The sequence below is a fragment of the Homo sapiens genome, chromosome 9, assembly GCF_000001405.40.
Source record: "Homo sapiens chromosome 9, GRCh38.p14 Primary Assembly".
NCBI lineage: Eukaryota > Metazoa > Chordata > Mammalia > Primates > Hominidae > Homo > Homo sapiens.
In genome coordinates this window covers 100,466,277-100,491,626 of record NC_000009.12, presented here as the reverse complement: position 1 = coordinate 100,491,626, position 25,350 = coordinate 100,466,277, and the positions used below count along the sequence as shown (strand labels likewise).

General features: G+C 42.0%; 2 protein-coding genes and 1 long non-coding RNA gene across 3 annotated transcripts in view, besides 3 other annotated features; 1 reads left to right on the top strand and 2 right to left on the bottom strand.

Annotated features, from left to right (window-relative positions):
* Window positions 1-18,478, bottom strand: part of TMEFF1 (transmembrane protein with EGF like and two follistatin like domains 1) — a 104,488-nt gene extending 86,010 nt beyond the window's left edge. Inside the window, exon 1 of the mRNA NM_003692.5 lies at window positions 17,887-18,478. Coding sequence (NP_003683.2) covers window positions 17,887-18,082 — 196 coding nt within the window. The 5' untranslated portion in view covers window positions 18,083-18,478. The remainder of the gene's footprint in view (window positions 1-17,886) is intronic.
* Window positions 1-25,350, bottom strand: part of MSANTD3-TMEFF1 (MSANTD3-TMEFF1 readthrough) — a 135,731-nt gene that overhangs the window by 86,010 nt on the left and 24,371 nt on the right. The gene's annotated exons all lie outside the window — the stretch shown is intronic.
* Window positions 17,693-17,852: a silencer, noted in NCBI's record as "silent region_20140". NCBI's record gives its function as "represses an Ori minimal core promoter by ATAC-STARR-seq in GM12878 lymphoblastoid cells {active_cell/tissue: GM12878}" and the evidence as "EXISTENCE:reporter gene assay evidence [ECO:0000049][PMID:35858748]".
* Window positions 18,163-18,222: a silencer, noted in NCBI's record as "silent region_20139". NCBI's record gives its function as "represses an Ori minimal core promoter by ATAC-STARR-seq in GM12878 lymphoblastoid cells {active_cell/tissue: GM12878}" and the evidence as "EXISTENCE:reporter gene assay evidence [ECO:0000049][PMID:35858748]".
* Window positions 18,503-18,662: a silencer, noted in NCBI's record as "silent region_20138". NCBI's record gives its function as "represses an Ori minimal core promoter by ATAC-STARR-seq in GM12878 lymphoblastoid cells {active_cell/tissue: GM12878}" and the evidence as "EXISTENCE:reporter gene assay evidence [ECO:0000049][PMID:35858748]".
* On the top strand, window positions 18,737-20,577 carry LOC124902237 (uncharacterized). The gene is made up of 3 exons (XR_007061702.1): window positions 18,737-18,824; window positions 19,120-19,250; window positions 20,453-20,577. It is a non-coding gene; the product is annotated as an uncharacterized LOC124902237 (long non-coding RNA).

The window sequence follows — 25,350 nt, the reverse complement described above, 5'->3', positions numbered from 1 at the left end:
CACATTCACACCCACCACTTCGAGTCTTCAAACCTGGTTTTCCCAACCATATTAAAGCCATGTCATCTGTTTTTGCTAGTGCTATTTCCAGTCTTCAGAGCACTGCTGGGGAAAGTCCTATAAATTAATGTTCCCTAAGGCCTTATTAACATGTGGAAAACTTTAATTCATCTCTACTGGATTCTGTATTGACTCCCCACAGAATATGTTCAAACTTTTCACCTTGTCCTTTAAAAAAATTTGTCATGAGTTTATACTGACTGTCTAGATGTTAGTAGTATTTGGAGAAATCTGCCCTTTTTCAGAAAAGCAAACCAATCCAATCTGACAGGACCCTGCTGGATGGTTTCACTCCCAGAACAAGGCCAGTTTGTTCTTGAACATGTACCCAACTGCCTACAAAACAATTCCATGATCTCTATACTGAAAATAGCAGAAACATTTAAAATATTTAAATATTTGAAATATTGCACACCAGGAAATGGTGTGGTACAACTATGGAATATTATAAAGCTATTTAAAGATGTATATTATAGAATATGGAAATAAGCTTATTAATGTTAAAGTGAAAATGCAGACCACAAAACTATATACACAGACTATGATTTTATATGAAAAACCTGCCAGGCACTGTGATGCAGGCCTGTAGTCCCAGCTACTTTGGAGGCTGAAGCAGAAGGACCAGGAGTTGAAGATCAGCCGGGACAATATAGTGAAACTCATTTCAAACACACACATACACACATACACACATACACACACACACACACACACACACACACACACACACCATACATATAAGATAATCCAGCCAGGAATAAACAAAACCGGTAACAGTAACCTGTTACAGCAGTTAAACAATGAGTGATTTCTCCCCTTTTCAAGTTTCTATATTGGTTATTATTTAATGGGGAAAAAAAAAAAAACCTCAATGTGATTTCAAAGACAACCCCAGAGACAGTTTGCTATACCACAGACGAAGCATAAGTTTAGATATCAGGAAGGGCCAAGTTCACGTGGTAGTTCTCCTTTTAGAATAATACTTTCCTTTGATATTGTAATGATTAGATAATGTATTCAAAAGCAATCGTGCCTAAAACAAGTAGTTATACAACAAATATTCACTTTTTTTCTTTTCCCAGATATGACTTCAACTCCCAACCAATCTGAGGGGCACCTCTAATGACACAAATCACTGAAAATACATTTCAGGGTATAAAATCAAGCAATAGATTTAGCAAATGTTGACTTCAAGTCCCAGGAAATCAGAAAAATTAGAAATTAAATCCTCTTCAACTTGTTTACTAATCATATTAGTTATCTTCTAGTATAAAGATATGAGGAGGAAAAAGAAACTTTACCTAATATTTTATGATACAAAACCAAAAGCAGTTTACATTAATATTAAAAAGCATCAACTGCAGAGATGGCTAAAACTTCTCTAAGCTATACTTAACGAAAGAAATTTCACATATGCCACACAATCGTCTGACTCCAATATTTTTCATTCCATTTTGCATACTACTGCCAACTACCCTTTGTTAAACCACATTGCTCCTGTCAATCCTCCACCCCCACTCCTGCAATCTTCCCCCGCTGCCTACTTTAATTCTAAATGCCTGTATCAGGACTCTCCAGGCAAGGTGACAGGGAGAAAAACTACTGTAAGATCAGATGGAAGAAAAGGCCTGGGTACAGAGTTGAGTGGTTAAGTCTCCCAGGGTCTTTCCAGGCCTCGCCAATCCTAGCCAAAGATCTCAGAGCTGTGACACTCTCTTCCTCATGGATGTTTCTGATCTCTGGGGTTCTGACACTAGCCTGGCAAACCATAAACTGAATCTGTTATGGTGCGGTTATTAAAATTAATGATGAAAAATCTCTACATTTCCTGACATGACACATTTAAAGTCAGGCTTTTTAAAATGTATGTAACACAAACTTTTTTTAATGCCTATTTTAAAAACCTGGAAGGTATACCCACCAAAATAGGAACCACAGTTATCTCTCGGTAGAATTTAAGCTTTCTTCATTATTCTGTATTTTTCTGAATTGAGTTTTACAACAAACTTGTATTACTTTTAAAATCAAATAAAACAATTACATGCTACAGTATATAAGAACCTTGAAAATTATGTAGGCAGGGTGCAGTGCCTCACGCCTGTAATCCCAACACTTTGGGAGGCCAAGGCAGGAGGATTGCTTGAGCCCAGGAGTTTGAGATCAGTCTGGGCAACATGGTGAAACCCCCATGCAAAAATCTGCCAGGCGTGGTGGCACATGCCTGTAGTCTCAGCTACTGGGGGACTGACATAGGAGAATCACGAGCCGGAGGTCAAGGCTGCAGTGAGCCATGATTGCACCACCACACTCCAGCCTGGGAACAGAGATCTTATCTCCAAAAAAAAGAAAAAGGAAAAGAAAATATTATGTTAAAAGAAATAACTCAGGCACAAAAGGCTACACATTGTATTATTCCATTTATATGAAATATCCAAAATAAATAAATCCACAGAGAAAGTCTCTATGTGGTTACCAGGGGATGGGGGTGTGGAGTAGTGGGACTGACTGTTAACAGGTAGAAACTTTCTGGGGTGATAGAAATGTTCTATAATTAGATGGTAGATAGTGATGATCACTGCACAATATAGTAAATGTACGAAAACCACTGAATTGTATACTTTAACATGCTGAATTTTACATTATGAAAATTATCTCAATAAAAAATAGAAATAATTTTTAAATCATATAAATCATGCTGCTTAAATTTTGGAAAAATTGAAATAAAAAAATTAAAAACAGGCATTATAATATGTTTTTTAAGAGGGACACCCTGGCATCAGACCACCTTGTCCAGCATCCCGGCTCTACCACTTATCACAGCTGTGTGAGCTTAGTAATTTACCACCTATGCCTCCATTTCTTCATCTACAAAATGGGGACAATAACAGCACCTATCTCAAAATTCTGACGGAGGATTAAAGATATGGAAAGCACTTAGAGCAAAATAATAATACACATAATAAGTACTCTATTAAGTGTAAGCTACTATTGTTTTTTATTAGCACCAGTTCTGGAGAAAGTATAGAAAAATGAGCACTCAAACCAACTGTGGAAGTACATAGTGGCACAACCTCTCATGTGTCCATATGCATTGCCATTTTAATTGTCTTTATCCTTTTACCCAACATTTCCAGGAAACTATAACAGATATAAAAGAAAAACATACAAAAACCTATGTCCAAGATTGTTAACGTCAGCACTTTCTGTAAAACCAAAGTAGAAAACAATCTAAATGTCTATCTTTTGGGAATTAAATTATTGACATAATACTACACAGACTTTGGTAGAAACACATGTAGTGATATGAAAAGACAACTAAGACCTATTGTGAAAAAAAACACATTGTAAAACTATACATACAGTTATAATCCCATTATTTTGAAACATATGCCGGTTTACATATATAAGATTTTGCAGGTATACTCAATACATTTCCTTCATTAAACTGTTTTTTAAATCAATAATTAATCTAAACACAAGAACAATGTCCTCTGGTTCTATTTCTAACCACTATCCCTTAGTGTCTGCAACACTAAGTAGAATAGGAGGTAGCCAGAACCCAGGGAAATCACCCACAAAGATGAAAATCTACACAGCAACTTGCATACTGGCACTGAAAAACCTGGTATTAATGATTTTAAAAGATAATTTTTTAAAGACTTCACAAAATTCTGGTGCATTAGAAAGAGTTCCAGACTTGGGGTTCCAATTATTTGATTAAGTAAAAGTAACTATATGATCTTGACCAAGTGCTAAATCTGAGAATCCCAGTTTCCTAGAATTTAAAAAAAAAAAAAGGAGTATAATAATCCCTTATAGGATTCCAATGGTTATAAGAGATCCTTATAAAAGAACACTGCAAACTATGAAGAAAACTGACTGTTACTCTGGCTGAAACCACCAAAAACAAACTTAAAAAGACACTACCATAACCAGAAACCCCGACAAATTTTGTTGTAAAACATTGAATAATTTTTTTAAAACTAGGTCTAAATAAATGGGAATTAGGATGTGCTTATGGTATAACCTTGAAGTAAACAATGGTAAACACAAGTGTACCACCTAGAAAACACCTCAAACCACTTTAGAGAGAGAAGGAGGCTGGGCGCAGTGGCTTAAGCCTGTAATCCCAGCACTTTGGGAAACCAAGGCAGGCAGATCACCTGAGGCCAGGGATTCGAGACCAGCCTAGCAAACATGGTGAAACCCCATCTGTACTAAAAATACAGAAGAAAATTAGCCAGGTATGGTGGTGGGCAGCTGTAATTCCAGCTACTCAGGTGGCTGAGGCACAAGAATTGCTTGAACCCAGGAGGTAGAGGTTGCAGTGAGCCAAGATAGTGATACTGTACTCCAACCTGGCTGACAGAGTGAGACCCTGCCTCAAAAAATACTAATAAATAAAAATTAAAAATTTTTTAAAAAATAAAATAAAGAGAAAGAAGAAAAAAAGCTATAGAAAATGAATACAGGACACTAAAAGATTGAGCTGACTTGTGAACAATAAAGAATCTAAATATATCAACTGGGCTATAAACAACAGAATTGATACAGCAACATCAGCAGTTTAGTTTCACGTGCAAAACAATATTAAATGAAAGCTGACAAGGCAAAAATAAACTGAACTTAAAAATTCCTAGCCAGGCACAGTGGTTCATGCTTGTACTTTGAGAGGCTGAGGCGGGAGTATCACTTGAGCCCAGGAGTTCGAGACCAGCCTGGGCAACATAGAGAGACTCCGTAACTACAAAAGATAATTTTTAAAAATTAGCTGGATATGGTGGCACACGTCTGTGGTCTCAGCTACTCAGGAGGCTGAGGTAGGAGGATCAATTGAGCCTGGAAGGTCAAGGCTGCAGTAAGCCATCATGCCACTGCACTCCAGCTTTGACAACAGAGGGAGACATTGTCTCAAAAAATAAAAATAAAACATCCCAGAAGGAGATCTGACCTCTGAACAACAGTGGCTCCAGCATAAACAGAAAATGCAAAGCAAAACAACATGAATATTTTTTTAAAAGTTCAGGCCGGGTGCTGTGGCTCACGCCTGTAATCCCAACACGTTGGGAGCCCGAGGCGGACCAATTATCTGAGGTCAGGGGTTCAAGACCAGCCTGGCCAATATGGTGAAACCCCATCTTTACTAAAAATACAAAATTAGCTGGGCATGGTGGCACGCGCCGGTAATCCCAGCTACTCAGGAGGCTGAAGCAGGAGAATTACTTGAACCTGGGATGCAGAGGTTGCAGTAAGCCGAGATCACGTCATTGCACTCCAGCCTGGGCAAAAAGAGCAAAACTCAAGTTCAAAAATTTTCTGATGAAAAATGAAATAATTTAGCATAAACACTGAGATTAAAGAAGAGAATGGCAATTATCCCAGATTTCCTCTTCATATTTTTCCATATTCCTCAAATTTTCTACACAGATTATATACTGCTCTTATAACAAAGAAAAAAGGTGTGGGTTTTTTCCCTTTTTTAATCCATGGAAAAGACAGACTCAGAATATTTGCAAAAAAAAAAAAAGAGAGAGAGAAATTGAGCTGTGGTTGAAAATATAATAACCTGCCAAAGTTTTTAAAGGTACAAGAATACGTTAAGAACTTTAGAACCTTAAATGACTTCTGAAAAAATGACAAGGCTGCTGAGCCATGGAAAATACATGATACTTTTTAAAAAATAGATGAATTTGAATAGTAGCAAAGGAATTACAATAAATTAAGTTACCTAATAAACTAAAAGCATATACGGAGAGAATTTTCAGATTTAAGTATAGAATTTCCAAGTACATGAGAAGTATGCCAAGCCCCTAAATGCTCAAGAAGCTAATAATAGAATTATATGAATAAAGAAAATAGTTAAGTTAAGACAATGTTTCTAACAATGTAAAAAATGAAGGGGGATAAATAGGTTGAAGTTATCTCCCAATCCAGCTTAAAAGAAATTGAGAATTTAAATTCCATTAAAGAAACCACATATATAGGGAAAATGAAGGATAACAAATAGGAACTTAAATGAAGATGGTTGGTTATAACAAAGAAGACAATAACAAAGGTTGGTGAGGATGTGGAAAATGGAATGTTCACACATAGCTGATGAAAATGTGAAATGCTGCAACCATTTACAATAGTTTGGCAAATCCTCAAATGTTAAACATAGAGTTTTACATGGACAGCAGTTTGGCAAATCTTCAAAATGTTAAACATGGAGTCACCACGTGACCCAGGAATTCCACTCCTAGGTGGAATACATACACCCAAGAGATATGAAACAATGTATTTACACAAAAACTTGTACATGAATATCCATGGTGGCATTATTCATAATAGTCAAAAAGTAAAAACAAAAAAATGTCTATCAACAGATGAATGGATACTGAATGGATAAACAAAATGTGGTATTATCGAGACAATGAAATATTATTCAGTCAAAAAAAAGGAATGAAATTCTGATACATCCTACAACATGGATTAACCTTAAAAACATCATGCTAAGAGAAAGAAGCCAATTATAAAAGGTCATATTGTATGATTCCATTTATATGAAATGTCCAGAATAGACAAATCTACAGCAAAAGATAGTAAATCATGGCCAGGGTTGGTAGCTCATGCCTGTAATCCCAACATTTTAGGAGGCCGAGGCAGGCAGATCACTTGAGGTCAGGAGTTTGAGACCAGCCTGGCCAACGCAGTGAAACTCCGTCTCTACTAAAAATACAAAATTAGCCAGGCGCAGTGACAGGCACCTGAATCTCATGCCGAGGTATGAGAATCTCTTGAACCGGGGAGGCGGAGGTTGCAGGGCGCCAAGATCACACCACTGTCCTCTAGCCTGGAGGATAGAGACTGTTTCAAAAAAAAAAAAAAAAAGTACGTCAGTGGTTGCCTAGGGCTGGATGAGGAGAGGTGGGGATTGGGGAGTGACTGCTAAAGAATGTAAAGTTCCTTGGCCAGGCGCGGCGGCTCACACCTGTAATCCCAACACTTTGGGAGGCCAAGGCAGGCGGATCACCTGAGGTCAGGAGTTCAAGACCAGCCTGGACAACACAGTAAAACCCCGCCTCTACTAAAAACAAAAAAATTAGCCAGGCATGGTGGCGGGCGCTTATAATCCCAGCTATTCGAGAGTCTGAGGCAGGGAGAATCGCTTGAACCCAGGAGGCAGAGGTTGCGGTGAGCCAAGATCGCACCATTGCACTCCAGCCTGGGCAACAGAGAGAGACTCCATCTCAAAAAAAAAAAAAAATGTAAAGTTCCTTTTGGAGGAGATGAAAATGTTCCACAACCTTGTGACTATAGTCGAAAACACTGGATTGTGCAATTTAGAAAAAAGATGATGATGGAGGGTAGCACAGATATCAATTACTTAATTTAATGTAAATGAGTTGAATGCCACTGAAAGCAGAATGATCTATAACTCTATTGGGAGACAAATCCCAACACCTAAAAACTAAAATATAAACACAAATTCAGAAAAGGTTGGGTCCTATGATAACTTCAAGAGATACTTGAAATCTACTCTATACAAAGGTAAAAAGTACAACAAATTATGATACAAAATAATGTTCAATGTATATGTCCTACATAGAATAACAAAAATATAAGAAAAACTGAAAAACTGTGAAAAATAAACCTATCATTATAAGTGGAAGTTTAACTATTTAATTAAGAGGAGATGACAAAACAAAAAATTTAAAGTATGGAACTAAAACATAAATTAACCCTCTCCCTTTGGTAGGGGCCAACTTGACAGAGCCAAGTTCAGGGGAAAAAAAAAACAGACAGACAGACGATAGAGAGAGAAAGAGTAGATACACAAAGAGAGACTTAAAGCAAATGTGGTAAAATCTTAATTGGGGAATCTGGGTGTACTATTACAACATTTTTCTAAGTTTGAAATTACATGAAAATAAAGTAAACTTAAGTAAAAATAATAGTTAATATAACATGGAGACTGAGAAGTCAAGGAAATAACTCTTCTGGATAGAAGAATCTTTCACAAAATTTGTTTTCATACTAGAATACAATGACACACCTTGTTTGTTTGTTTGTTTGTTTGTTTGTTTTTTGAGATGTTGTTTCTCTCTTGTTGCCCAGGCTGGAGTGCAACGGTGCGATCTCGGCTCACTGCAACCTCCACCTCCCAGGTTCAAGCGATTCTCCTGCCTCAAACTCCTGAGTAGCTGGGATTACAGGCATGCGCCACCATGCCCGGCTAATTTTTGTATTTTTAATAGAGACGAGTTTTCATCATGTTGGCCAGGCTGGTCTCCAACTCCTGACCTCAGGTGATCCACCCGCCTCGGGCTCCCAAAGTGCTGGGATCACAGGCATGAGCCACTGTGCCTGGACGCACCTAGTTTTAATATGAAAACCCAGAGATTCCATATGACACATTCTTAGACCATAACGCAAAATCATGAAAAAACCCATCTGTAACATATATAAATTCATGTGTTTCACAACAATGAGAGAAATTTTATCATAAATGACAATGGAGTTAAAGAAACATAATGATCTATATCCACCTAAAGAATTTAGAAAGAGACAAAAGGGAAAGTTTAAGGGATAAAATTAAGAAAAAAAAATAGACATAAAAACATCAGAGAGTGATTCAAGGACAATGGTATAATCAGAGATAGCAGGGTAGGTTTCAAATACAAAGGAGGAAGTGGATTCAAGGAAAGAGTTAAAAAGAAGAACAATACAGTGGAAGTTACAAGGAGTACAGGCAGGAGAGGAGTTCAGACCAAAACACCTAGGCACTGGAGAAATAAGGTCTCCCATCCAAACATATAATTGTGAATAACAGGAATGAGGGAATGTACACCAATTTGACTCTCCTCCAAACAGGCTCTCCATCTCAAATTAAGAGCATCACAACTCACCCCACCATCTCTAGCAGAAGATCCAGAAGTTTAGGCAGAAAAAGATCAATAAAAGAGGCTGGCTGGTTGAGGACTGGGCAAAGTAAAGAGCTCATGCCTCACTAGACAGCACTGACTGATTTTTGCAATGTGGAAATAAAAGCCCAATGCTGACAGTACCTCCAAGTTTAGAAGAGAATGCAGGCCAGAGTGGTGGCTCACGCCTGTAATCCCAGCACTTTGGGAGGCCGAGGCGGGCAGATTACTTGAGGTCAGGAGTTCAAGACCAGCCTGGCCAATATGGTGAAAACCCGTCTCTACTAAAAATTCAAAAATTAGCCAGGCGTGGTGGCGTGCACCTGTAATCCCAGCTACTCTGGAGGTTGAGGCAGGAGAATCGCTTGAACCTGGGAGGTGGAGGTTGCAGTGAGCAAAGATCAAGCCGCTGCACTCCAGCCTGGGCAACAGAGCAAGATACTGTCTCCAAAAAAAAAAGAAAAGAAAGAAAGAAAGAAAAGAAAAGAAGAAGAAGAAGAGTCGGCAGAAAAATAGATTGCCAAGTGAAACCTCCAGATTTTTAATGGCTAACAACCAATGTAACTTTTTTAAAAAACTGTGCAGGCTAGGCTGGGCGCAGTGGCTCACGCCTGTAATTCCAGCACTTTGGGAGGCCAAGGCAGGCACATCACAAGGAGACCGAGACCATCCTAGCCAACACGGTGAAACCCCGTCTTTACTAAAAATACAAAAATTAGCTGGGCGTAGTGGTATGCGCCTGCAGTACCAGCAACTCAGGAGGCTAAGGCAGGAGAATCGCTTGAACCTGGGAGGCGGAGGTTGCACTGAGCTGAGATCATGCCACTGCACTCCAGCCCGGTGACAGAGCTAGACTCCGTCTCAAAAAACAACAACAATTAAAAATAAAAATAAATAAATAAATAAACAAAAAACCTGTGCAGGCTAAACAAGTCCTCTCAATTCTTCCCATTTCTACCATTATCTTTCATCGTACCGCCAGGCTCTTCCCTTCTCCATTCCATCTTCACCAATTTCAGACTTTGTTTTCTAAAACCATAATGTCACTCAAACCCTTTAAAAGCTTCTTGATGTCTTTGAACCAAATGCCAAAACTTCAGATGGGCCTTGAAGACCTTAATGTGGTGGCATAATCTCCTGCCTTAATCCCCGCAATTTAGTATTTCGAAAAGACTCCCTTCTCTTTTCCACCTTTGTGCCTTTCCTAAAGCTATTCCTTCAGCCTAGAATACCCTTCCTAAGAGGTATTCTATGTTCATTCATCTATGTTCAGCTTCTATGTTCATTCAGCCATTAATCTATTCCACAAATAAATATGTAATGGGAACCTAACTTCGTACCAGACACCAATCTGGGCACTGTCAATACAGTGGTAAACGAAACAGATAAAAATCTCTGCCTTCATAGAGCTACATACAGAGACAGAAAACAAGTAAAACGTATAGTATGTCACACAGGAAAAGGTGTCCTAGAGCAAGAAAAAGCACGAAGGAAGATTAGGATATGAGAGAGACATTGTGGATGGAAGGTGGAGAAGGCTGTAATTTAAGGCACCACTGAAGGTGACATTAGAGCAAACAACTGTAGGAACTGGGACAAGAAGATTCCAAGCCAAAGGAACATCAACAGCAAAGGCCTCAGGCAAAAGTGCGTCTGTTGTTTCTAGGTGATATTCTACTCTCCCCATACAGCCCAGCTTGAGTGCCACTTACTCCATGAAACCAGTTTTGATTCCTACAAATCAGAATTACACATTCCCATGACACCACATCTGTATCTTCCTCAGGGCACCTTGTACAGTGGAAATCCTCTTTTCAAACATATACAAGAGTGATCATTGATCTATTAACCAAAAAAGTCAGTTAAGGCAGAAACCATTTAAAATGATATCTATTTTAGCCATTTTAGTCTTAAATACATAATTATACATTCATTTCCCAATGTAGCACCAAGACCTTTTTTTTGAGTGTAAGTCTGCCAAACACAGTTCCCCACTTCCTTAGATAAATCACACCCATAATCCATTAGATCTACAATGTCCATTTTCCTTTCCTTTAAGTAGAACAGGGGCTTAAAAATACTTGCAGTGTTTTCTGGGAAATCCTTCCAAAAGTTTACAGGGTTTCTCCACTCTGTTTCAGTTGTCTTAACCATAATTTAATTCGTTCAGAGGCAATTCTTTCAGCTTCTTGTCTTTATCAAGTCTTTTCAAAGCATTTCATAAAAACAACTTTTTGTATTCATATTTCATCGATTTGAGTAATATTTATTAAATTATACTCATAATTACCACTGGTATAAATAAGTTTGAAAACAAATACAACTGACTCTTGCTTAGTAAGCAGAAAAATCAAATGACAAACGAGAGCCAACTTAGCATTTGAGCATCTCTGTGCTTGCTGTGGGAACTGATTAGTATGATTTACTAAGGGAATGATTACTCCAAGATGTCAAAATCAAGCCCAGCAAAGGATCTGAATAGACATTTCTCCAAAGAAGATATACAGATAGCCAATACATTCATTAAAAGATGCTTAATATCAATAGCCATTAGGAAAATACAAATAAAAACGACATTGATACATAACTTCACACCCACTAGGATGGCCAAAATCAAACAGACAGACAATAACAAGTGTTGGAGAAGATGCTGGAGAAATTAGGATCTTCAAACATTGCTGGTAGAAATGTAAAATGGTGCAGCCACTTTGGAAAACCGTTTGGTAATTCCTCAAAATGTGAAACACAGAGTTACCATATGACCAAGCAATTCCACTCCTAGATACATACACAACAGAACTGAAAACATGTGTCCACAAAAAACTTGTCCATGAATGTTACAGCAGCATTATTCATAACAGCCAAAAAGTAAAAACAACTCAAATATCCATCAGTAGAGAAATGGATATGCAAAATGTGGTTTATCCATACAATGGAATATTATTTGGCCATAAAAAGGAATGAAGTTCTGATACACACTACAACATGGATGCACATTGAAAACATTATGCTAAGGGAAAGAAGCCAGACACAAAAGAACACACCTCATATGATCCCATTTGCATGCATATCTAGAATAGGCAAATCCATAGAGAGTAGATTAGTAGTAACCAGGGACTGGGGAGGCGAGGAATGTGGAATGACTGTTAATAGCTATGAGGTTTCTTTTGGGGGTGATGAAAATTTTCTGGAATTAGAGAGTGGTGACAGTCGTACAATTTTGTGAATATATATAAATCCACTTAACTGTACCCCTTTTAAAAAATCCTATCTTGTTCGTGCTCAATAAATGCTTATTGATGGGGACTGCTGTAGGGAAGCAAGCCCAGATGTGGTAAACAGAAACTTCCACTATATATATCTGTAAGAGGCTAACCACCTCTATAAGATTATAAGGCCCTTGAAAGCAGGGAAGCCTTCTCATATATTTCCCTTAACATCCAGTATATTAGATTACACTACGCAGTATTCAATCAAGGTTTGCTAAATTAATTATTATCCATCCACATTTTACACAACAGGGATCTAGAAGATAAAAGCCCTGCCCGAGATTCCCCATTAATTAGAAAAACTCACTTTTATTCCCAAGAATCCTGAATTGCCACAAATAAGGCACTTCTCATAATCTGACATTTATATCGTCCATTAATACCATTCCTACCACCATATAATAATCCAGAGGACCCACTTCTAGTTAAAACCCATTTCAAATTCTCTACCTTATATCTATCACGAAATGCCACTTACTGGTCTCTCAGTATGTTCTTCTACCTCTTTAACCATATTCCCTAAGCTAGAAATGCCCCACATGGTTAGTCTCATTTGTTCTTCTCAAATATCCCAGAGCCAAAAAGGACCATCATCATCTTCATTTCACAAATGAAAAACAAAGTCAGTCAGTCTAAGGTTACCTGGTCTCCTAAATTCAAGTTTATCTTTCTTCACATATGTCATGTATTTCCAAGCTTTTTTTCTCTTTGGATAACTGGGAACTTTCTGTTAAGTTAGCTTTAAAAAAAAATAAGCATAAATAAAAAAGATATAAAATCGAAGTTTTTCTTTTAATCTCAATAAGTCTAAAGTCCAGAATAAGTGGAGAACTGGGGCAAGAGGACAACAAAAGAAGTCTTGTTCCAGCCTGGGCATCATGGCGAAGCCCTGTCTCTACTAAAAACACAAAAAATTAGCCGAGTGTGGTGGCACGCACCTGTAGTCTGAACTACTGAGGAGGCTGAGAATCACCTGAGCCCAAGAAGCTGAGGCTGCAGTAAGCTGAGATTGCGTCACTACACGCCAGCCTGGGCGACAGGAATGAGATCCTGTCTCAAACAAACAAACAAACAAACAAAAAAGTCTTGTTGAGAACAAGAAGAGATAAACCAAAGGCCCATTGCTTAGGGAAGATGCAATATCAAGAGACAACAGGGCCAATTCCCTATGCTTCATCTTCATCAAGAAGCATGATCTTCAAGCTAGGGAGGTCAGAAATCTGATAAAAGGAAACCAGCTTCTAAGGTAAGTGGCATGGGTAGGGGACAGTAACAGAATACAGAGCTAGTTCAAAAGAATATGCTTTCTGATCCAAATAACTCACACTCCATGATGCTGAAAAAACTTTTACATCTGCCTTAAAAACTACCACAAATTATCTAAGCTACCTTGACAAGGTGCCAGAAGACCAGAAATCAAATAAATAGAAATAAACACATGCTCAAATTTCAAAAAAGGAGAAATGCAGGCCGGGCGCAGTGGCTCATGCCTGTAATCCTAGCACTTTGGAAGGCCGAGGTAGGCGGATTGCCTGAGCTCAGGAGTTCGAGACCAGAATGGGCAACACAGTGAAACCCCATATCTACTAAAATACAAACAATTAGCCGGGCGTGGTGGTGTGCGCCTGTAGTCCCAGCTACTCGGGAGGCTTGAGGCAGGAGAACTGGTTGAACCTGGAAGGCAGAGGTTACAGTGAGCCGAGATCATGCCACTGCACTCCAGCCTGGGCGACAGAGCAAGACTCCATCTCAAAAAAAAAAAAAAAAAAAAAAAGGCGGAATGCAGATCCAGAAAAACATCTGTGGGTAAACCTGCTATGTAACTGCTGAAAAATTCTAAAATGGATAAATAAGTTTTCGAATACAGTAAAATGAGAAAGCCACCATCAGCTCTTTATTAAGGCAGGCTATACAACATGTGCTTTTTATTTAACAGGATTACTAAAATGGAAAAAGGGAGGATGACAGGATGATATATACACATAACAATCTAACAAGACAATCTGAAAGAATCTTTTAAATAATAGGCTGGTGAACAAAATGGGAAAATGTTGAACAGCAGAAGCTCGAAAATCTGTTAAATTCAACTAACAGGATGCATAGCTAGTTGAACATCTGGTTGACTAACGTAACAACATCAACCAAGTTGGTAGAAAGTCTCCAGTAATATGTCGCAGGGTTCCATCCTTTTTCACAATCTAGACAACTTCTATTAATTTAATGAAGCCATAGAACTGCTCTTCATATTTGCAAGTGAAAAAAACCTGTGAGTGACCCAACACGCACAGCCTGACCGAATCAGCTCCAGAAAGCTCACAGTAGGCTGAAATGATGGTCCAAAACCAAAAATGAATATCTACAGGGAATCGAGGGCTGTATTTAGTTTTAAAACTGAAATAGGCCGGGCGCGGTGGCTCACGCCTGTAATCCCAGCACTTTGGGAGGCCGAGGCTGGCAGATCACGAGGTCAGGAGATCGAGACCATCCTGGCTAACACGATGAAACCCCATCTCTACTAAAAATACAAAAAATTAGCCGGGCATGGTGGCGGGTGCCTGTAGTCCCAGCTACTGGGGAGGCTGAGGCAGGAGAATGGCGCGAACCCGGGAGGCGGAGCTTGCTGTGAGCAGAGATCACCCCACTGCACTCCAGCCTGGGTGACAGAGTGAGACTCCGTCTCAAAAAAAAAAAAAAACGAAATAGGCCAGGCACATTGGCTCACACCTGTAATCTCAACACTTTGGGAGGCCGAGGCAGGCGGATCACCTGAGGTCAGGAGTTCAAGATCAGCCTGGCCAACATTGTGAAACCCCATCCCTACTAAAAATACAAATTAGCCCGGCATGGTGGTGGGCGCCTGTAGTCCCAGCTACTCCGGAGGCTGAGGCAGGAGAATCACCTGAACCCAGGAGCCAGAGGTTGCAGTCAGCCAGGATTGCGCCACTGCACTCTAGCCTGGGTGACAAAGTGAGACTCCATCTCAAAAAAAAAAACATGACAGAGTAAACTTCAGTTTGTGGGGGGATACCTAGATAATAAAAGCTACTAAACAAACTGTGCACAATTTCGAGCTGCATTAACAGATGTGTGTGTCCAGACTGTATTAACATGGTTCTCAAACTTACCAACTAAAAAAATTTTTTTTCCATATGAATCGTTCCCAAATCTTCATCCTAAAAAGTTACAATAAGAATCTACAAGTATCACTTAGTTAAAACTCTAGCTTTAGACCCAGTTATTCAAGTATATCTTACTGCTAGAAAACATTTTATTTGATCAGCTTAATTTATTGACATTTATATCAGTGATGAATACGCTTGAAAGAAGACTCAGATATTACTAAATCCAAGTCTCTTTTTTAAAAGGAATGGAAACTAAGAGAAATTAAGTAACTTGCCCCAAATTACACAGCTGCTTAACAAGGACCATGACCCCTAGATCAGTCCCCTTTTTCCCACACTGCATGTCACCCACCCCTCCTCTTCAATGCATAGTACCCCAGGGTGACTAACTGAGCCCCAGGCTTCACACGCACACACACCACACAAAAACACAGGTTCACTTCTCCGGCCCTGGGACTTTCCTGCCCATACCCGAGGTCACTCCAAGCCCCTACATTCCATCTTAGAACCCAAAGAACACACACACACACACACACACACACACACACACACACACAGTCGCTCTGCATCACCAACCCACATCCTCAAGGGTATCCATCCCTCTATTTCTTTTATTTCCTTTCTTAAAACTTGAACTATGCAAGTTAGAAAGTACACACAAAAACATCCCATCAAGACACACTATATTTTGCTAAGAACGAATTAGCTTAGCAAGAACAAATACCCGCGACACATTAGCTGGAAAAATATTGACATGGTGCGATCACTTACAAGTTTGATAATTAATATTTGTTACATAAAAAGGCACTCTAATATACAACTGGTTTTTATTCTTAAAGTATGATTATGTAATAAAGCATTACCCCATATCCCGTTCAACATCAGAAAAATAACAGAAAAGTTTTTTCACGGATGGAAATGCTTTTAATGGACATGCCATTGTTTACTGTGCTCAAAACTGCCATTCCCCTCATAAAACATTACCATATGAAAATTATTAAAAGATTTAAGGCCTTCAAACCTAAATAGCGGGCCAAAGGCTTGCTTCATTTAGGGTAGCATAAGCATCTGCGCTGAGACTCTCTTGCTCCTTCCTCACTCTTCCAGAAATAATGCCCCTTCAAGAGCCCAAAAGTATAAAGGTTGTCCGGCAGATTCCCAGTGGCCTTATGTTCCTCCCTCCTCCCCCTACTCCGCCTTGGTTTAAAGAAGACAAGAGAAGGCTCCAGAATTGATAAAAGGGCAAGTTAGCAAGGATGTGGCTTATGATCACTAGCATCTGCTAGGCCAGCTCCAAGAAGACCCTCCACTCAAAAAATGAGACCTGAATGCCTGTCTTTGCCCCAGGGCCATAATCCTTGTGCGCCTCTGGGACCCCTTTAGAAATGAAGAGGAACTTTACTGCTGGGACCCTCCTCCCCAGTGTTATCCACTAAAGCCTCAGCAAGCTCTTTGTTTCCAACAGCTGTGGGGGGGCAAGCGGCCTTGGAGAGAGGGGAGAGGTCACTCCCTTGCTCCCCGCTGCTGCCAGAATCCAGGCCCTCCCGCAAAACACACACACACAGGCACGACATCTTCCCTGGGACCCAATTCTCTCTTTCCACACTTTAATAACCCAGGGTTACACCTTGCTACACAAGGGCATTCCCTGAGACCTAATTTCCTCTTTCTACATCCAAACCCTACACAGGATGATGACTCCCAAGCCTCCTCCCCTTTGAAAAGACATAAATGGGGTTCGCTATAGGGCACCCATCCCTCCTCTTCAATGCATACCCCAGGGTGACTAACTGAGCCCCAGGCTTCACACACAACACACAAAAACACAGGGTCACTTCCTGGGCCCTGGGACTTTCCCCGCTCATATCCACAGACCCGAGGTCACTCTAAGCCCCCAGATCCCATCTCAGAACCCAAAGAACACACACGCGCGCGCGCGCGCACACACACAGTCACTCTGCATCGCCAAACCGCGTCCTCAAGACAACCCGTTCCCTTTATCCACACGACCCCCACCCCCGAGACCCCCAGTGCCTTAAGGAAGAATCTCCCCAGCACATCAGCACATGGTCACTCCCCTGCCCTCACCCCGCCCAGCCCCCTCGCCGTCTCCCACCCACCGCACTCTGCACACACACACACAGATCCCTGCCTGGGGCCGCCCTCCCTCCCCTCAGCCTTCACAACACAAACACACGCTCCCGCGAGCACACCCACGACCACACCGGGAGCCCCGGCCGGCCGCTCAGCCTCGCCGGCCCCGGCCCCGGCCCCACCGCCTCCCCACACGCCGGGCCGCCCTCGCCCAGCCACTCGACACACTCGGACGCACCCACGGCCACTCCCATCCCCAGCGCCGGTCCCAAAGCCACACCGCACGCTCGCGCCCTGCCCTCCGCCCTCGCTCACCCTCGGGCCCACCCCTGGGACCCCCACGACGGGGTCTTTCCCAGCCCGGCCGACCGCAGGGACCACGAGGGAGGCGGCAACGGAGGGGTGGGAAGACCTAGGGCCGGCTCCGACCGGTCCTACCTGAGCAGTTGATGCTCTTGCCTTTGCCGCCGGGACAGTCCCCGCCGCTGCCGCCGCCACCACCCGGGGGCTGGTTGGACGCGCGGCTCCCGGGCAGAGAGAAGGCGAAGAGCAGAAGCACCGACGTGTAGCAGCAGAAGGCGAGCGGAGGCGCGGCAGGCAGCCGGAGCGGCGCCTCAGCGGCTGCGGCGCCCATGACTGGTGCCCCTGGACGGCGGGAAGCGCAGGGAGCCGCAGGCCGGGGGCATCCAGCCGCGCGCCCAGAGCCCCGCCGCTGCCTCGGTGCCTCCTAGCAGCCGCGCCGCTGAGCCGGGGAGCAGCCCGTCAGCATCCCCGCCCCACCCGCAGCGTCCGCCAGGCCCGGGCCCGCGGCGCTCGGGACGGAGTCGGCGGGTCCGGGCGCGTGCGAGGGTCGCGGGCGCGCAAGGGTGCGCGCGAGGGTGCGAGCCGGCGTGGGGGACACCGCGGCGAGGGGAGCGGGCGGGCGCGCGCGCGGCGGGCGGGGGTCGCGGGCCGGAGGCAGGCCCAGCCTCTTGCTCGCCTCCTCGCCTTCCCTTTGTGTCCGTGGCCGTTGCCACCGCGTCACAAAGACCCCGGCCCGCCCGGTGAGGGGCGCGTGACGGAGCCGCCGGCGGGAGGGGTGGCTGCGACCCCGCCCCGCGCACACCCCCAGCTCCCGCGCCGACAGCTCCGCCCCCGGCCGCGGCCGGCGCCGCCTCCAGGGGAGCTATTGTTCCTGCGACAGGGCAGGGGCGCGGGGGCCGGGGTTGGGGCCACCCCTCGGCGGTAGGCTGCACCGTAGCAGACTTGTTTGCCGCCCTTTGTGAGCTGTTTTTGAAGCGTTTCCTTCGCCCAGCAGCAGGGCTGGGAATGAGGGCAGGTGGTCTGTCATATATCTATAATAGTTTTTAGGTGGAAGAAACTGAGTCACGGAAGAGGTAAAGGTGACTTGTCCAAGGTTGCATACCAAGAAATGGGCAGGACCAGGATGGGAGCCCAAGTTCTGACTCTAGCCATGCAGTTCTCAGAGATGTTGGGTGAATGGTTAGATTTCTAGGTTCCTCATCCCCACCTCATTCCCGTAGACTCACATACAAGTGAGTGAAAATAGTTTTACAAAAGTCTGTGTTGCCCTCTCCCCCTAACAAAAGCTGAGATTCAGAGAGGATTTTCTAATATACAAGGCCTGGTGAAAGCTCTTTATGTGCATTCTCTTCAATTATTTTTTTACAGGCCTCGGAGGGAGTTTTCGTTCTTATCTCCATTCTACAGATGAGGAAGTAGGGACCCAGAGAGGCAAGGTGATCTGACTCCCAGTCCAGTGCTCTTCCTACCACATCCTGCTAGGTGATAACTAGACATAGGTACTAAGATCATGGACTGAATTGTGTGAAAGTCCTCTGCCTTTTTCATTCTATTATATTGCATCCCACCCCAGAAGGAATTTTAAGTCTCATTGAAAAACTGATCAATTTGATTCATAAAATTAAGAAATGTGTGAAAAGCCACCGCAAGCAAAGCCACATTAGGAAAAATGTCTTCAGTGCAAATATGAGACAATATACTTAATATAAAGTTATATGTCAAGAAGAAAAAGTTAACATAATAGAAAAATAGGAAGCTTGACTCTTATTCACAAAAAGTACAGACAATAAATACATGAAAACAGATTTGAACCCACTAGTAATAAAAGATTAAAACCACAAAACTCTGGCCAGGGGCAGTGGCTCACACCTGTAATCCCAGCACTTTTAGAGGCCGAGGTGGGCGGATCACCTGAGGGCAGGAGTTCGAAACCAACCTGGCTAACATGGTGAAACCCCGTTTCTACTAAAAATAGAAAAAATTAGCCAGGCATGGTGGCGCGCACCTGTAACGCCTATAATCCCAGCTACTTAGGAGGCTGAGGCAGGAGAATCGCTTGAACCCGGGAGGTAGAGGTTGCAGTGAGCAGAGATTGCACTATTTCACTCCAGCTTGGGCAACAAGAGCGAAACTCCATCACACACACACACGCACACACAATTATTTTCCCTTTGGATGATTAACAAGAGTTAAAAGAATTGGCAGACTGAGCACTACTAATTTATACATTTTAGGAGGGCAATTTGACTATGTATCAAAAAACCTTTAAAATATGTTTACTCTTTAGCAATTCCATTTATTGGAATTTATCTAAAGGATAACTGGATAAGCACACAAAAATGTATACATTAGGATGTTCATCACAGCCTTTATAACTTAAATGTCCATCAGTGGGGACTAAAGTACGGTACCTCTTAGTACAATGGAGTATTATGCAGCTTTAACAATGATGATAATTAGGTTAGCGTTTACTGACATGGAAAAAGCAGGATACTGATGAGTAATAGGAAAACCCTATTTTTCTAGAATATATATAATGTGTACACATCCCTAGGAGAAAAAAGTGAAGAACACTATACAGCAATATATTAACAGTGGTTATGTCTGAAAGACCAGCTTATGAGTAATAATTACCTATAATTACCTGTTCTTTATATTTTTCTCTGTGATCTGAATTTTTATCTTTTTTTTTTTCTAACAGGGTCTCACTTCGTCACCCAGGCATGATCACAAGACTCTGTCTCAAAGAAAAAAAAAACTATTTTAAATAGTACTTTCATTATACTTTTTATACAAATAAATTCACATTTTTTAACATTTTATTAAGACTCGCCTCACACGTCTAAACTGTTAGTGGCATGCCAAATGTTAGAACTAAAATTGAACTTCTGGCTTTTCTGAATATTGTGGGATCTCAGGTTCCTAACTGCTAAGCCACAGCTAAGGCTTTTTCTCAGACCTTCAGCAGCTTCTCTGCTAAGGTTGACCTCTTCCATGCTTCATTCCTGACCTGTGTCTTGGCTCTCCAAGCCCCAGTATTCTGCCTTGAATTTTCATTTCACTGCTCACCATAGCCCAGGCAGAAATACTAAGAGAAGTCAACCATTAAATAAAAAGCAAAAAATCGGAGGGAGTGGGTGGCTCACATTTGTAATCTCAGCACTTTCTGAGGCCGAGGCAGGAGGATTGCTTGAAGCCAGGACTTCGAGACCAGACTGAACAACATAGTGAGACCTTGTCTCTACAAAAAAAAAAAAAAAAAAATTTAATTAGCCAGTGTGGTGGTGTGCACCTGTAGTCTTAGATATTCAGGAGGCTGAGGTGAGAGGATCACTTGCACCCAGGAGTTCAAGGTTACAAGTGAGCTATGATCATGCCACTGTACCACCTGGGCACTGGGCAACAGAGCAAGTAAAAAAAAAAATCCTGGGGCCATAAGTCACAAATTAATTTACATCTGCATCTTTCCCCAAATCAGCTAAAACAAATTCAATACAGATTTCTTGAAAAGAACTCTGCTTCAGAAACAGAATTTGTCTGACTTTGATCATATAATCTCAGAGAGGGAAAAGGTTGTTAGAAGTGAATTAATGTAACACCCATGACATGCCTTAATACTGGTGACCCCAAAATATCAGATAGCAAAAGGCTGTGGGACTCACTACCTAAATACCACCCAGTGAATTTTTACAGGATGTAGATTTCTGAACAGTACTCCAAACATTCTAGGTGATGCCCAAGTATCTCTTATTTATTTTAAAGTTGTCTAGATAATTCAGATGCACTGTCAAGTATGGAAAACCCTGAACCTGATCAGTCAGCTATTGCTCCCTAACAAACCACCATAAAATCTCAGCAGCATGCCACAAGGAGCATTCATTTCTCATAGGTTTAGAGGTTGACTGGGGGTTGGCTGGTTGATCTAGGCTAGGCTTGGGTGGATGGCTTTGCTTCAAGATACAGGTTCAGCTGGGTTTGGCTCCTATGTGCTGGTTGAGCTCTGGTTCATTATTCTAGTATTCATTCTGGGGATGGGACCCAGGAAGAACTCTTGTCACGGAGATGGCAGTGGTACAAGGGGGCACACCCAACTGTGCTAGCACTTTTTACACACTGCTTGTATATGTCTGCTAAAATCTCACTGGCTAAGATCAGTCCTATAGCCGAGCTCAAAGACAAGGGATAGGGAAGTTTATTCTCCTTATGGAGGTAAGTGAGAGGGAGTAAATAGGAAGTGAATATTTTAAAACAAAAATCTATCAGAGATCTTATATTGAACATCATTAGTTATGCTCTACCAGAATGTTTTCAGTTCCAAGTAACAGAAAACCCCAATCCAAGTTAAGGTAAACAAAAAGGGATTTATTGGCTCAGGTTTAAAAAAAAAAAAATGCCAGAGGTAGTGCCCTCTCTTATGAGTTGATTTCTGTTCTCAATTAAGCTTCACTCATGGAAAACATTGCATTCCTTCAAGAAACCCTTATGAGCATTTGCTGCACACCAGAGTAGCCTCTGTGGGCAAGAGATCCTGCCCTCACTGTGTGGGAGAGAAGGAGACACTTGAAAATTAACAACTACAACTCAGTGTGATAAATACTAAATATAAATGGAGTGAGGGTGGGGTAGATGTAAATGGCAAATCCCATCCCATACTCCCAGCCCTGCCAATATCCTGGCTTTCCTAGACCTCCTGCTGGAGGGTCCAGCTGCATAATGACGTCCTGATAAACAGTAATGAGACACTTTGGGACTGACAAATTGGCCCCAGTAGGAGAGAGTCACAGTGCTTGACCCAGAAACAGGGGAAAGCAATGATTTATGGTGCAGCACTGGCAAAGCCTGGGGTTAATCTCTGATCCAATTTGTGAAACTGGACCCCAATTTCTAGATAGGGGGGTCTTTGTAAAATTGATGTTATTTATTCATTCAACAAATTTGTGCTGAAGGTCTACTCCTAGTGCCTGGGAATATACAATGGTAAGTACAGCAGACCTGGTCCCTGTCCTTAGGAAGTTTACAGTCAAATATTAATCAAACAGTTATACAAATAAAATTAAAATTGCAATATTGTTAACAAATGCTATGAAAGAGAAGGTCAGAGAGGTTTCCCTAAAGGAGTGATGCTTGTGCTAAGATCAGAAGGAGGAGTAGAAGTTAACCAGGTGAAGAGGGAGTGCTCCAGGCAGAGGGAACACTCCCCTGAGAGTAAGAGCATCTGAATGCCAGCCAGTTTAGTAAGAACCTAAAAAAACAAGGTCGGCCAGGCACGGTGGCTCACGCCTGTAATCCCAGCACTTTGGGAGGCCGAGGTGGGCGGATCACTTCAGGTCAGGAGTTCGAGACCAGCCTGGCCAACGTGGTGAAACCCCATCTCTACTAAAATTACAAAAAATTAGCCAGGCATGGTGGCAGGCGCCTGTAATCCCAGCTACTCGGGAGGCTGAGGCAGGAGAATCGCTTGTACCCGAGAGGCAGAGGTTGCAGTGAGCCAAGACTGCGCCACTGCACTCCAGCCTGGGCAACAAGAGCGAAACTCCATCTCCAAAAAAAAAAAAAAAAAAAAGGTCAACTTATTTAGGACTTCATTTATTGATTCAACAAATATTTACTGAGCACCCACTATGATCTAGGCACTGTCCTAGATAAAGAGAAACAGCAGTGAACAAAACAAAGTCTCTGATTCTCACAGAGCTTACGGTCTAATAGGGGAGACCTGATAATAATAATAATAATGTCAGTGGGAGAGAATAATTTTTGGGTTGAGCCATGATAATAATACACCAAGGACCTGCTATGGCCCAGGTATGCCTATGTCCCAGGCACTTCGCATTTGTTGTCATTAATCTTCCCGCCCACCTTTTTGGTAAGTATTATTTCCATTTTATAGATGAAAAAACAAAGCATCAGGTCAAGTACCCAAGGCCACAAGGTGAAGAAGTTGGAGTCACCAGGTTCATTCTGACTGTAAAGCCTCACCACATCACTAGCAGGAGAAGATGGAGAAGCATCATCATCTGACACATGATGAAGCAAAAAATTGGCATTATCAAGACTGCAGGCACCAGAATCTTCACAAGCCATCCTGACCATCTTGCAAGAGTGTCAGGAGATTTCACTGGGTTTCTTGTGATTATATTCAGAGATTCTTGTGATGACATTGGTGGGGACTTCAGTTGGAATCACTGTTATTCTTATCCACTTCCCCTGAATGGTCCTCAGTTACATAGACAAGGTAGAAGCCAAGAAGGCAAGGGTTACAGAATAAAAGTGCTATGGGAATGCAGAAAGATATCCTAACTCTGCCTGAAGGAGAACAGGCTTCATCACTATAATTGTCACTTCTCACCCAAACAGTCCCTGTGAGTGGGTAGAGAAACTGAGGAGGCATCTCTGGGTTTTTACTGCAGGTCTTCTTGTCATTCAGTTGTTCAGCATTGCTCTGAATACAGAAGTAAGATTTTTCTTGATCTTTCGGCAAATGGAAATTTTCAGCCGCAATCCAAAAATTTCTCCAAGGGTTTTAGTTCATAAAGGAGTGTACCAAAGAAATAGCTTCTCTGAGAAAGACAATCACATGTAAATGGAAGTAGGAGGTATAGCATAGTAATTAAGAGTGTAGGCTCTGGAACCAAACCATCTGGGTTTGCATCTTAGCTCTACTGTTTGTTAGCAATATGACCTTGGCCAAATTATTTAACTTCTTGGGGCCTCAGTTTGATAATCTGTAACACAGAGATAAAATTTTTATCTGCTTCATAAGGTTGTTGTAAGAATAAAATGGGTTCATAGATGTGAAGTGCTTAGAACCATGCTTATTACATCATAAGTACTCAGTAAATCATTAACTAGAAGTAGGAGTCACATAGTAACCACGTGATAAATGTTAGTTACTGTTAGTGGCAGTTGTCATTAACTGTACTTATATACCAGACTAAGAGCTCCACATGTATTATCTAATACAACCAAAAACCTAGTCTTTTTGTGTTTTTTTGTTTTTTGTTTTTTATTTTTTTAGAGACAGGGTCACACTCTGTCACTTGGGCTAGAGTGCAGTGATGCGATCATAGCTCACTGTAACCTTGAACCCTGGGCTCAAGCAATCCTCCACCCTCAGCCTCTTGAATAGCTATGACTATAGGTGTGCACCATCATGCCTGGCTGATTTTTTTATTTTTTTTTTAAGAGATGAGGGTCTCACTATGTTGCCCAGGCTGGTTTTGAACACTTCGCCTCAAGTGATCCTCCCATCTCAGCCTTCCAGAGTGCTAGGATTACAGGTGTAAGCCACTATGCCTGGCCTGAGAAGGTACTACTATTATCTTAATTGTATAGATGAGAAAGCTGAGGTTTGGTGAGGTTAGGTAATTTGCCCAAGGTTACTCAGTTAATGGGCAACAAGGCTGGGGCCAGGTCTGTCTAGCTCCAAAGCCTATACTTTGAATCCAAAGCCTATACTTTGAGTCAAAACCCAGAAGGTTAAAGTCAACAGTGAAAAGAGCTCATCTGGGCTGGCTGGGTACTAGAGAGGCCTGCAGGACAGCAGCCTGGTAATTGGCAGAGGTAGCTAAGCTGCTGGGAGGAAAAGTTCTGACAAAAAGC